The following is a 14,230-nucleotide window of genomic DNA, read 5'->3' on the forward strand; positions in this document are numbered from 1 at the left end:
TGGCAATATAAAAGGTAAACAGAGGAGAGAGAATCAGCAAATTCTGAAAAGAAATGGTGGGTGAATAAGTGTGGTGTCATATAGCAAGGGTATGTGCTTGAGAGTCAAATAGCAACCAGTGGTTAAGCAGGATGATTATCTACTGCCTAAATCACAGGATCCGTAGTGCGTTTTGATCTCGTCATTCCTCTTCTCAGAAACAAGCAAAGGAGTCTAGGCTTCTCAGGGACCCTAAGAATAGTGTCTGCACTCACTGTTACATTGAAGGGTCTGGTCTTATCTCTCCGTGTGTCTTTTTATTTGGTGTATGCTAAGGACATACCTGTTTGAGTTGGTAAAATAAGCTTAGAAATTTTATAACTTCTTTCTATGGAAAATGCTGCCCTGACTGGGCATAATTCTCACTATAAAAATTTGTCTCATCCTTCTAAGTATTAGCCCAAACATCAATTCCTCCACAGTCTCCCTTATTCTGTATCCATTTCTCCTTCCTGCATGCCCTAAGCACATTAACTGGACCTCTGTTTTGCATGTAGGTATTTACTTCAGGGACTATACATATTATACTGCTTTTCTATATCTGTATCTATTTTCTGTATCTATATCTATTATAGTGCTTTTCTATATATCTATTGCATTTCTTTTCTCCAGACAAGTTATAAATCTCTTGAAAGCAAACGTCGTGTTAATTCATTTTTTATTTTCCTTGATTACTTATTTTAGTAATCAATAAATATTTATTGAATTTAAATAATTTCTTATCCCCTTGTGTCCATATTTCAACAAAATCTAGATTAATGACAAAAGTTTCCATAGAAAATTTTGACTGTAGCTTAATAAAATCTAGATTAATGACAAAAGTTTCCACAGAAAATTTTGACTGTAGCTTAATAAATGTTCAACCATGTTGTAGACATATGTGATAACCTTAAGATATAAAATGACAGGGTAAATTTATGAGAGTGCATAAAATTCTTTATTTAGAACAATAAAGTATATGTATATATCATGTAATTTTAAATTCAAACCTGTATAAAAAAGGGTTGGGACATACACCTATTTTAAAAAGTACACATACAGTATATACACATACACATCACATTTTACAACCTTTTTTATTTAATTAAATTTCAGTCATAATAGAACTATTTAGAATAGTGTCGACATACATTTACATTATTATATGCAAACTCCAATCTATGACTGAACTGAGGGTATATCTGCGCATCCATCTAAATTAATACTTTTCAAGTCCATTGATTTAAAAAAATGGTGGCAAGTGGACACTATAATCACATATTAACCCTTAGAATATAGAATAGAATATTTTGATTGGAAAATTATATTTAGTGAGTATTGTAGCTCAGAGATCAAGTACTGGAAAACGGTGTGGTTTTTAGTTTAACAGTTGTTTTAATTTTATTGTTAAAAACATCATAAGGATGTAGTTGGAGATGGCAGTTATAAATAAATTTACAATGCTTAGTAAACATTTCAGGATCACAAATATCCATTTTAGCATGGATTATTTCTTGAAAAAAACACCTTGTTATAAAATGAAAGTACCATTATTTTATTTTTACAAACAAAGGCATTTCAAGACTAGTTAATGGAAAGCAGCAACATTATGAATTGTGTGATCAAACTCCACAAATGAGCTAATTAGAATTTCAATCTGAATGGTTTTATTTTAAAGCCAATTTCAAAATAATATTGTTTCAAAGATAAGCTGGTTTACTTTAGATTTCTTATCCCACTTTCCAATTTTAAAGTGTAATTAATGAATTACCCCTTTATAAATTGATTCTAAAATATCTTTTGGCATTCAAAACCTTCATGAGCATTTTACATTTTCTGCTCTTAGTTTTCAATAAAATGAGAAGATTTAAACGCTCACTTTGGTGCATTTCCAAATGTTACACACATCTTATAGTTTCTCATCCTGACTAATATGACTAAAACGTACTACTGGTTTTCATTCTTTGGAGGTGATCCAAAATGTTTATTCAAGCAAAGGAAAAAGCCATCTCTTGTGTAAATGGTGATCCAATTCACCCTACTTAAGACTGAATTTCACTTTTACTAATGGACACTATTTACATTAGAAACAAGAACAGCAATGACTTTTTATGGTCAAGATACTTATTCACAGAATCCAGAGTTGGATATTTTGTATGGGTTAGTTTCAATGCTATTTTGTCTTCTTTGTCGGTCATATTGCAATAGGACTCACCCCTAAGGAGTGATCTCTGAGTTTACCATATAGATAAATAAAAAATTGAGACCCAAAGAAGAGAGGTGATTTACCATATCAGTTAATGACAGACTGGAGGCTCCGGATATCTTTTGCAACATCCATCCCACCATGCCAAAATGCATTTTTGAAGAATATATTTTTTAAATATACATAATGCCTAAAAGCTCCAAACTGAAATTACATTTTGAAATGAAAACTTGGCTGCAGTAAAATATTTTTAAAATCCATGATTTCTGAATGAGTTTTTCTCTTTATTTATAACTTTAGTTGAATTAGAGTAGGAAAACGTGCCCCAAAGTTTCTCCAAAGTACTTTAAAGCTCAATGAAATGTATTTAATTCTTACTAAAACCAATACTTCATTAGGTATGCATATTTTTTCATAATTTTCTTTTCACATACTTTTTAAGAGAATAGGCTACTTGTTCTATTATTGTATTGAAGAAAAATTAATTTTTCTCTGACTCATTAAAATGTGGCAGTGTGGTAAGCACATTAAATTACAATACAATATCCAGGAACACTTCATTATCACTCAGGAGGCAACATTTATCATAAAGCCATTTTCTAAATAGACCTGGTTTCTACCAAAGAGGTGCAAAGCTTTCAGTATCATTGAGAATCTACAGACTTCTGAGATCATTTTAAAAGGTAATTTTGAAACCTTCCAAGATGGAACTGTCAGATACATGGCACCAACTGAAAAGGCGATTTCATGGTTTACTATCTCAGCAGTGAGTTTTCCATGATTTATGAAGAAGGATATTCAGAACACATCTGGGATAAAATAAGCAAAGATAAATATATATTTTCATCTCAAAGCAGAAATAACACAGTTAATGTCCAAGCAGCTAGCATCCAAAATAATGTTCAGCATTTTTCTATTGTTCATGCATTTTATTCAACTTTAGTGTTTTAAAAATTGGCAATCCATGTAACTTTCAATGGACCAACACATTTAATAAGCAGGACACATCTCCCCTCTCCTACCATGTCAGATTTAATAACTTGCTGAATTTGTTTATTTAACTCCATTGATTAAGACCATGTCCATGAGTGTTAAAACCCAGCTACTAGGTTTGAGGACAAAAGTACACATTTATTATACTCTTAAGCACATTAAGCAGGATTTTCATATGCTCAAGCAAACTGAAACCATTGGTTAAATAAATCAAACTACTAGATTGAGAAGTATCTATCTTCTCAATCTATACACAACCTACACGCATAACTCATATTAATCTGTATCTATTTTCCTGAAAACAGTCAATGCCACACACTGAGACAGGACCTATCAGCAATTTAAATTGATCTCTGGTTTTATTACTAATCAAGTGTACCATGTGATATCTGAGGGCCTGAACACCTTAATGCAGCTTCTCAAAGCACCTGGGTTATATCTTAGAGAAATTACTCATATTTAAGGAACCACAGCATGTTAGAGAAGAAAGGGACTGTAGGAATCATCTGGGCTCTTTGGTACAAAAAAGAGCAAAGGCCACTTACTGGAGTTGCATCTGGATTTGCTTTGAACAGAAGCTAAAATCCAAATATACTAGAAATTCTTGGACTTTTGAAATGAAAGGAAAGCTAGCAGTTAGTTTTTCATGCCCTTTTGTGTCACTACATTGAAAACTGTCATCTTACGGTTGTAGAACATGGCAATAATGTTATCACAAAGATTAAGTTAGAATGGAAAGCTTTGGATTCCTTTATGTGTACATTCAAGACATGTTAAAAGAACTTTCATCAAAATAAACCATAAGAAATCATTCTTTGACTTTAGTCAGATGTTTTCTTATTATAAAAAAAATTGGCAAGGGATATTCACATAATGTCTTACAAGTTCTAGTTTAAAAGCACAATGTCCATCTTGGGAATTCCTGCCAAATTCACTCTTAATATGACAAACACTGTCACACATTTTAAATAGCAAACTGACATGCATAACTACATAAAGCTTTCTTTTTAATTCATAAACCTTAATGAATATAGAGTGCCCGATTTTAACTAAATGGATCCTTTAAACAGATAATGGTGATTATACTATAAATAACTAAAGTTTCCTGATTCCTTGCATTATAAGTAACCTAGTTTTCAACACCCATATTAGCATGTGGGCGTGGTTTTCTAACCTTAGATACTAAATGTCATAATTTATTTTTAGGCTCTCCCATGGTGGAAATTGAAATGGGACCATCTTACATTCAGCATTTTCTCCTAAGTCCCTTTACATAGCTCTGTAATAGTTTTAGAATATAAACACATCATAACACATTTTGCAAACACGATTTATACACCCTATAGTGGTCAAGGGAAAAGGCGGACTTTCCCAGGATGCCAATGTCCTTCTTGGCAGACTGTTCTGATGTTCAGTGTTCTTAACTTCTTCCTGCGATGACTCTTTTGGAGTCTCCCCTCTGCCAAGGCATAATTCAGTACTGGCTCCCTTGCATAAATGGAACCAGGCAACCATTTGCATTTGTATAGTGGGATATGGGTGAGCATGGTTTACATCAGGAAGAGATCGAAATCAGACCCATATCACTAATCGGCAACTATAAAGCTGACATGTTGCCAAATCCAATCACAGTTCCCACTGCTTTCTACACTGTACAGTGGCTGACACTACTGAGTTTTAAACATTTTTTCCAGATCCCTTTGAGAAAAATTGTTACCCTCACTATCCAAGCTGAAATCTACTTGCAGAGACCAGGATAACTACAGGCTGCAGTTTGTATCTGAAGAATAAAGCTAGGTGTTTTTTCAGCATTTAGACATTTCTGGAGCCATGCAAATGGTACATGCAGTCTGAGACACGTGCTTTCTCTTCCAACATCAGCTGCAAGTTCTAAATGAGACCCAAGTCCCGCAGTCCTTAAAATAGAGTCCTGCTCCATGCAAGTTCTTCTTTATAGATGATTAATTCAGTGCCAGTTTCACAGTAAAACATTCTGTTCCAATTTCTGAATCATCCATATAAAGTCATGGGTAGCAAGAACAGATAAAGATGTGGTCTGTCACTCCAGACAGAATATGAATTTGTTTAAAGCTGCTTCATTTATGAAGCAAACATGAACTGTTACCAGCCTAGAAAGGAAGGAAGAAAAGAGAGATTATGGTGTATCTGCCTTCTGCCTTTTTAAAAATCTCAATAGCCGAAATCATATATGACCACAGAATGAGTAACAAATTTGCAATGTATGCTTCACTTATATAGCAGAAAAGAACTTCATAAATATTTTCTTAGATGCAGTGATCAGTCATTTTCTATGATCTCCTTGGTAACACATTATCTGAAACAATCTTACTTTTTGTTTATTATCTATGTCCTCCCATTAAAATGTAAGCTCCATGAGGGCAGGGAGCTTCTCTATCTCTTTTACTGCTGTACCTCCACTCTTATAATAATGTCTGGCACTTAATAGACACTCAATAAATATTTCACCCTGTGACTTTCATACCTCCTGACATTCTACCAATGATCTCAGTTTGTGATAATATAATTATCAACTTAGTTAGCTTTGAATTTCTCTAGCAAGATTATAAAAGGTAGTAAACAGGGGTGAAGGGAGAAGGATTGACGAACAAAGTGTCTGGAGAGTGGAGATTAGAGAAATGGAGATAGATGGAGTAGCATGAAAGAGATCCCTAAGACAGGTGGAGAAGCTGGTCAATGGCCACCAACAAGTAATAGCCTCACATGGCCACTGAGCCGCTCTAGTATCTTGACTATCTAGTTAGGTTCTAGCAATCATTTCTTCCAGCTGAGGAAATAGCAGCAGAAAGATTTCGTTCAATACTTCCAACCAAAAAAAGAAAGACTGTAATCTTGGCACCGCATCCCAACAAAGTTCTGGGGAAAGTTCGTTTGGCCTCAGCATAGCTTATTGTACTTGTTGAAGCATGAAAGCCATATTTTGTTTTAGTTATTCAGTACTTGTGTTAATCTACTAGCTTTCAGATGTTTCAACTTTCCAGTAAAGTATTTGTATTTCCTTCTCTACTTAAAAAAAATACATATAGATGGTATCATCCCATCTTCAATCCCAGTCTCTAAATAAATGTGTTTTGCATTTCTCGTCTTCTCTGCTCAATCTCTTTCACTACTTTTGTCCTTGTTTATCAACCCAGCATCACAGATCACTGTTTTTAAAGTATTGAGATCATTACACAGATTAGCCATAAAATTCCATAGTGTAATAAGAATTGCAATATTTTTCCAGTCTCTCTAAATGTAATATATTAAAAACTGTCTTATACAACAATTTACCAAGCAGAGAACTCTAGAAGCTAGACAACCTGTATTTAGGAAATCAGAATTAAATCTAGAACAAAAATTAAGAGATACTAAGATAAAACTTCAGAAATCCAAAATATATAGAAGATATTTTAAAAGCATGGTTAGAAAGCAAAAGGGAATCACAAAAAGCAAAAGGATGTATTTTTTAAATGTATAAATAATTGGAAACACAAAGCTTAATATAGAGAATTAAATATAGGACAGGCATGGTGGCTCACACCTGTAATCCCAGCACTTTGAGAGGCTGAGGTAGGCGGATCATCTGAAGTCAGGAGTTTGAGACCAGCCTGGCCAACATGGTGAAACCCTGTCTCTACTAAAAATACAAAAATTAGCTGGGTGTGTTAGTGCACATCTGTAGTCCCAGCTACTCTGGGGGTGAGGCACAAAACCCCCTTCAACCCAGGAGGCGGAGGTTGCAGTGAGCTGAGATCACGCCACTGCACTCCAGCCTGGGCTACAGAGCAAGACTCTTAAGAAAGAAAGACTCTCAAGAAAGAAAGAGAGAGAGAGAGAATTAAATGTAGAGAAGATTGGAAATCTATTTTTGATTTTTGTCCCCGGGTCACTTAGCAAAGAAAATAAACGTAAAGACTGGCACCTGTTTTCCCATAGAACAAAACTACAATTTTTATAATGATAACCTGGGTTCTTGCAAGAACCCTTGTGAAATAAGAAGAGTACATTTATCACTAACCCTCATTACACATGAAAAACCAGGGTTTAAAAGACATGAACTGATAACTGATATAAATTCATCTAGTATTCTACACCAAAGAGTCAAGGCTTGAATCCAAGCCTAATCCTTTCTAATCATCTGCTTTACAATGTATCTACAGAAACCAAACTCCCAAAGCTTTGAAAGTCTTAGGAAACATCTAGCAAAGAATCACAGGTCTTGCTATTTGGTAACCAACCATTGCCAAGCCTTGAGGCCTAAATTTCCAAGCTTGTCTTCAGCTTGTCCTTTATTCCAATTCTAAGATTTATTTTCTTCCCCCTTAGCTCAGATATACCAAAATTTTGTTTGTATTTCTTTAGTGAACCTCTCCACAATCAAACCCATGCTATTTACTATCAACCACACGGGGCCATTTCTGTGACTAAGCAATTTCTCTTTCAAGGTCTCAAATAAGATTCTTTGCAGATAACTCTCAAATTGCAAATCATTCTTTCCAGGCCTGACTGTTATCTGAAGTTCCAGTCTAACATATTTGGCCACTGGTTAGTTTCAATAATATTTACCAACAGCTTCTTCTCCTGATTTTCCATTTCCTGTTAATGCCACCGCACTCTGGTAAGTCCCATAGTCTCCAAATCATTCTTGAGTTCTGCCTGTGATGCCAAGTCTCACATCCCATTAGTAACTAGGATTTGTTGATTCTTTTACTGCAATGTCTTCAAATGGTCTATGCTTTCTTATTTCCTGGCCCTGATGCTAATTCAGTTGTCATTCTCTCTCACATCTTATTTAAAGACTGGCCTGGTAAGTGGACTCAATTTCTCTAGTTAACCACTCCCGTACATCTTGCCATACCAACACCCGATTAGTTTTCTCACACCTCAGCTTTGATTGTCACCCACATCTTTCCTACACCATTTTCTCCCAATACCTCCTTATGTGACACAAGGCATTTAAGCCCCATTCCTGGAATTCAAACCCTTTCTCAAACCGATGCTCACCCTTTCTTCTCAGCATTTAACTCTTTATATGTGACTTCCACTGGAATCCAACTGTCCAAACTGACCCTTGAACACAGTTTCTACTTTGGGACTATACTGACTTAGTTTACGCCATGTGCTCAGTACAGATGCTACCTCCACCACTTACAAAGTGAAGCTTTTCTCCTATTGTTAGTGATTTCTCTCTCCTTTCAAAAATAGGTAACTGTATTTGGGTGTGCTCAATTCTAATATGTCATTCATTCCAGTATCTAGAACTGTGTTGAATTCACAACTTGTATGAACATATGCAGAGGCCTGGACTTTGATCAAAGTAACTCTGTAAACTTTTAGTTCACTTTTAAAAATTGGTTATTATGTATATGTCTGATTTCCTTTTGTAGGCTATAAACAATTTGAGGACACAACAAAGTTATATTAAGCTTTGCATCCATCAATGCACCTGCTAGAGTTTGTTGGAATCACATTTGTGGGAAGAGTAAAGAGCAAAAGTTTCCTGTAACGTATTAACATAAAGTTTTTAATGTAATCCATCTGTTTTATTTATCTATCTTAATCTTTGCTATCCACAACCCAATATGAAAAAGGTTTTTGTAGGATGCTACTATGGATATTTGGCATAAGCTATGTGACCAAGTAAATTTTTAACTTTTCACATAGCTGTTCTCACGCATGGTGTCAAATAAACACACTTCAGTTAATTTTTTATTTTTATATTTTGAGACCAGGCCTTGCTCTATCACCCAGGTTGGAATGCTGTGATTTGATCATGGCTTATTACAGCCTCAACCTCTCGGGCTCAGGCAATCCTCCTGCCTCAGCCTCCTGAGTAGCTGAGACCATAGGTGCATACCACTATGCCCACCCAATTTTTAAATTATTTGTAGAGATGGGGTCTTCCTATGTTTCCCAGGCTGGTCTCGAACTCCTGGGCTCAAGTGATCCTCCCACCTCAGCCCCCCAAGGTACTGGGATTACAGGAATGAGCTACCACTCCTGGCCTATTTATTCCTAGGTGCAACTTTTTTTGTTGTTGTTTCTAGTTCAATACATTCCTTCCACGTTTGTTCCTTGTAGTTAAGATATTAAACCCTCCTTCTTTTCATTTTCCAATTATAGGTTATTTCCTTAAGAGAACTAGCCCATATGTTCTCTATTCTAGTGTTCCAATATTTGTCTTGATTTAATTTGTTTTAGTTGGTGAAACTTCCATTTCAGGGAGAAATCCTTGCCATAAACCTGAGTCATTCCTTGTATTTTTCCCCTTCCTTGTTAACCAAGAAAATGATTATAATCCAAATTATATCTATTTTTTAAATGTATAATTGCAACTCCACATTTTATTTCTGTCTTGGCATTTTTTACTACGGTTATTCTTATTTTTTAGAAGATTTTCTCTCCAACCACATCACAGTTTGTTCTCCCAGACCTTCCCTCTACTACACACCTATCTAGGAACTAGACTTAAGAGTTCCTTGGAGGGTTTTCCATCTCTGCTGGTAGAAGGCCAAATGTAAGGGTTTACTTCATATAATGGGTAGTCAATAGATGATTACAAATGATATACACACATTTTTACTTTGGGGTTTTCAGATTCTGAGGACGAACTGGCCCTTTTCTACCTCTTTTCCTACTTTTCCCTCAGCATTTGAATTCTTATGTACTCATAGACACATACAAGTTTATTTCTGTTTTTATTTTCATATATTTTATTCTCATCTTATTGTAATTCTGAGATATTCATTCATCTTTCCATTAATTTATTCAACAAATAGTTATTCATCATTTATATGTGCACAGTATAAGTGACATTGTTTAGTGGGGCTCCAAAACTAAATTAAGAAAAAAAAATCCTGCCCCCTAAGAGTTTATGGTTTTGAAAAGGGCACAAAATGTTCATTTAGGTGACTGTGATGTCCTACCAAGTGTCATATGAAATCTATTTAGAGGGCCAGAAATAGAGATTATTTTCATTTGGGAAGTCAGGTTTTTGTAGGTGGCAGTATGTGACCTGAGCCTTGGTGGAGCTTTGCAGAGATGACGAGTAAGGCACTTTGTGAAGGAGAATGAGTCATGTTTTCATTCATTCTGCCATCTATTTCCCATTGACTACTGAATAAGTGAGCTGGGTTTTTTTCTGGATAATTCTGGCTTCTTTAACCTGGCTAATGTGATTCATTTTATACATGAGTAATAATTCATACCTTAAGAAAAATAATTTATTAGTTAATTTCTCATGTGATTATATTCCCCCTTGATATGCATACCTTGCTGTCTCATTAATCCAACCCAATACATTAAATACACACATTCACACAAAAGATAAAAACAAACCCTACTTCAGAAGAACAATCTTCTTTGCCATTTGCTTAAACTTTCATTTAGGGCTGAGTCACTCACTCAGTCTCTCATTCAACAAACATTTATAGAGAGCCAACAATGCACGGGCAGCAAGTTAGGTGTTGAGGGTACAGCAAGAAACAGAAAGACCTAACTCTTTTCTTGGAATGCTAACTGACTATTCAACACATTCATAAGTTGTTTGACTATGGTTGCTTTAAAATACCATCTTTTTTCCTCCTAAACAAATGGCCTGGGTTTCCGTATCCTAATCCACTCCCAAATGTCATGGGACGAATGTCGTAATTAAAACCACATGATTAAAGACCTGTGTGCCAAAACAGGATCCCAGCAATGCAATCCCAAACCAAACAACAGAGGACATTACTTGAGCATTTGAGCATTTAAGACTCAATTAACCATTTAATGTGTGGTTTGTGAATGCCACTTGAGAGAACTGAAATGGCTGTCAAGAAGAAGAAAAGGAAGGAAAAAAAAAAGAAAACAGTGAATCTCATCTTATGGTTCAAAGGCAAAAAAATGAATTTCTAGGAAAAAGCATGGTTTCAGCTTGGGAAATATTGCTTCGGAAAATAAAAAGTGTCAAGCAAACGGTCTATCCATTTACATTATTTGACAGGAAGAATGAGCCTAGAAAGAAGTGGCAATGGGCAGCAGAAAATAGAGGGTGCTATTCATGCTACGGACATGTTAATCAAGAGTATGATTGAAGGTAAAAGTGACAGAGTGTGTAGAATAAAGTATTACAGTGTTAGAGAAATGTGCAACATAATTATATCATGTTATCTTGAGTTGTTAAAAAATGTTGCTGTATAACCATAAAAGTAAGCTCATACAGGAGGCAAGATAATTTATGACTCAGTTCCACTGAAGAAGATTAAGTCTAGAGACAAATCTCTGAACCTGGGACAGGAGTTAAAGCTGGAAGGGCAGTGACTTGCAGGGTAAAGAAGGAATCCACCACAGACTATCTAGGTAATAAAGAGGAGAGTAAATAATCCTTTGACAATGAGGGAATGCACAGAAGAAATGAGGAATTTGAAAGAGGAGAGAATATTCGCATGCAACTGTGGTAAATGCTCTCAGGATTCCATGCCAGTAACAAAAATAACAGCCAATTAGCAGAAGCAAAAGTGAGGGACAGCATGAATCAATACTGATTAAGTTAATGCAGCTGTGGGTCTTCCCGCAACAGTATCTGCAGCAAGGGAGCAGAGAAAGCAGACGGGACAGGAGATAATGATACCAGTACCTTCTAGCCACATCTTACTCTCCTTTCTCCCACAATCCCTCCGCAGACCCACACAGTCACAGCACCTGTCTGCCATGCGTTTATGTTCCGTGCATCCTGGGCTCTGAACTATTATAATGCATAATTATTACTAGTCATGTGGAAGGTGGCAATTGACCTGGAAAATCTTACTCTCCTGACTCTAAGATATTTGGATGTTTTCTCTTTTTCCTGAAAATGGCAGGGAAACATTCTGGTTTTCTCTTGTTTCAGCATCTAACACATGGGATACAGTCATGTTATAGTGGTCACACCTAAATAAAATTGATTCCATATATTTTTATTCTATTAGTAATACTTAATTTTAGTCCTAATTTGCTATATTTCCCTTGTCTAATTAATTTTCTGGTCTCAAAAACAGTCTAAGTAAACATACAACTGTTAATTTTTGTGCATATCCCACACTAGATGAATCCACTAGTCAGGACAAACACTGCTTACCTTTCAAAACTGGAGAATACACAATGAATTAGATATGCACATTTCAATTATGTAACAGCTTCAGCCAACATACTGACATCTGCTTGATAGAAGACTTACTAATGAAGTTTGTTTCTAAACTTTGGCATCTCATATGCTGTATAGTTCTTGCTAAATATTTCAGTTTGAATTAAAATTTTTACAATCTACCCATCTGACAAAGGACTAATATCCAGAATCTGCAAAGAACTTAAACAAATTTACAAGAAAAAATCAAACAACCCCATCAAAAAGTGGGCGAAGGATATGAACAGACACTTCTCAAAAGAAGATATTTATGCAGCCAACAGACACGTGAAAAAATGCTCATCATCACTGGCCATCAGAGAAATGCAAATCAAAACCACAATGAGATAACCATCTCACACCAGTTAGAATGGTGATCATTAAAAAGTCAGGAAACAACAGGTGCTGCAGAGGATGTGGAGAAATAGGAACACTTTTACACTGTTGGTGGGACTGTAAAGTAGTTCAACCATTGTGGAAGTCAGTGTGGTGATTCCTCAGGGATCTAGAACTAGAAACACCATTTGACCCAGGCATCCCATTACTGGGTATATACCCAAAGGATTATAAAATTATAAATCATGCTGCTCTAAAGACACATGCACATGTATGACTGAGGCTGGAAACCATCATTCTGAGCAAACTATCGCAAGGACAGAAAACCAAACACTGCGTGTTCTCACTCATAGGTGGGAATTGAACAATGAGAACACTTGGACACAGGGTAGGGAACACCACACAATGGAGCCTGTCATGGGGTGGGGGGAGGGGGAAGGGATAGCATTAGGAGATATACCTAATGTAAATGACGAGTTAATGGGTGCAGCACACCAACATGGCACATGTAAACATACGTAACAAACCTGCACATTGTGCACATGTACCCTAGAACTTAAAGTATAATAAAAAAAAGAAAAAAAAAGGAAAGAAGAAAAAAACTTACCAATGTACGAAAGTAACAGTGTTGATACAAGCCACAATTACACTTCTTGAAACTCTCTCTCTTTCTCTTGCAACATACTGAAAAACAATAAGAAAAAATGCTTATTTGCTCTTGGTCAGAGATTCTGAGGTACACCATGATCTCGGCATTGTAAAAGGCAGCTTTTCTGTAAATATAGTAGCAGAAGATTGCAAAATTGAATGGGGAGCCTACCTTCTTATTACTATAGGGAAGAGGGAAGACTTCATTTGTCTTAAGGTAGTCTTTCCAAGTAGTTAAAACATTTCTTTCTCTGTATATGCATATACACATACCAAGCATGCCTATATGCATTTCATATGTGTCTGTGTATACATACAGGCATGACATGAGAGAAGGCAACACACCAAATGAAAATTATAATCAAAGGTAAGGGAACATATGAGTGCTGGGCAGTATAGGGTAAGGTGAAAGAATGACAAGAGCCAGCTACAGTGAATGGAAAGTCATCTTACAGCAAATTTTGTATTCAGCTTTAGAGAAAACAACGAGTATGTTGAGAATAGTTAAGGGCTCTGAAAGCCAGAGTAAAATAAAAGATATATAAAATATACAAGAGAAAATCACTGAACGTATTTTGAATAAGAAGTCACACTATGAACCAGGGTTTACAGAAGAGTGTGACTAAAGGTTGAGTTTAGAAGGGCTAAAGAAAAGATCAGTGGCAGCAACTCATGAGATCATAAAGATGTCAGTGATGATAATGCTTCCTACTGAAAGAACTAAGCTTAGGAAGACGCTCCAAGAGCTGAATCAGTATGTTTTGATAAAAGTGTGGAAAAGACAGAACATGAGCAAATGTGCCTCCAGAGTTCCACAACCAGGAGTCTGAGAAGATTCTGCTGCCTTACTTAAATAAGAAAGCAGA

The 14,230-nt window shown here is 35.8% G+C and overlaps 1 protein-coding gene across 2 annotated transcripts in view; it reads right to left on the reverse strand.

Annotated features, from left to right (window-relative positions):
* KITLG (KIT ligand) overlaps positions 958–14,230 on the reverse strand; it is an 87,679-nt gene continuing 74,406 nt past the window's right edge. For both annotated transcript variants that reach the window (NM_003994.6, NM_000899.5), the window contains 2 exons: positions 13,324–13,400; positions 958–5,346 (listed from right to left, as the gene is read on the reverse strand). In NM_003994.6, the coding sequence (NP_003985.2) occupies positions 13,361–13,400 (40 nt within the window). In that variant the 3' untranslated portion in view covers positions 958–5,346; positions 13,324–13,360. The remainder of the gene's footprint in view (positions 5,347–13,323; positions 13,401–14,230) is intronic.

Source organism: Homo sapiens, chromosome 12, assembly GCF_000001405.40.
Source record: "Homo sapiens chromosome 12, GRCh38.p14 Primary Assembly".
In the NCBI taxonomy this organism is placed as follows: Eukaryota; Metazoa; Chordata; class Mammalia; order Primates; family Hominidae; genus Homo; species Homo sapiens.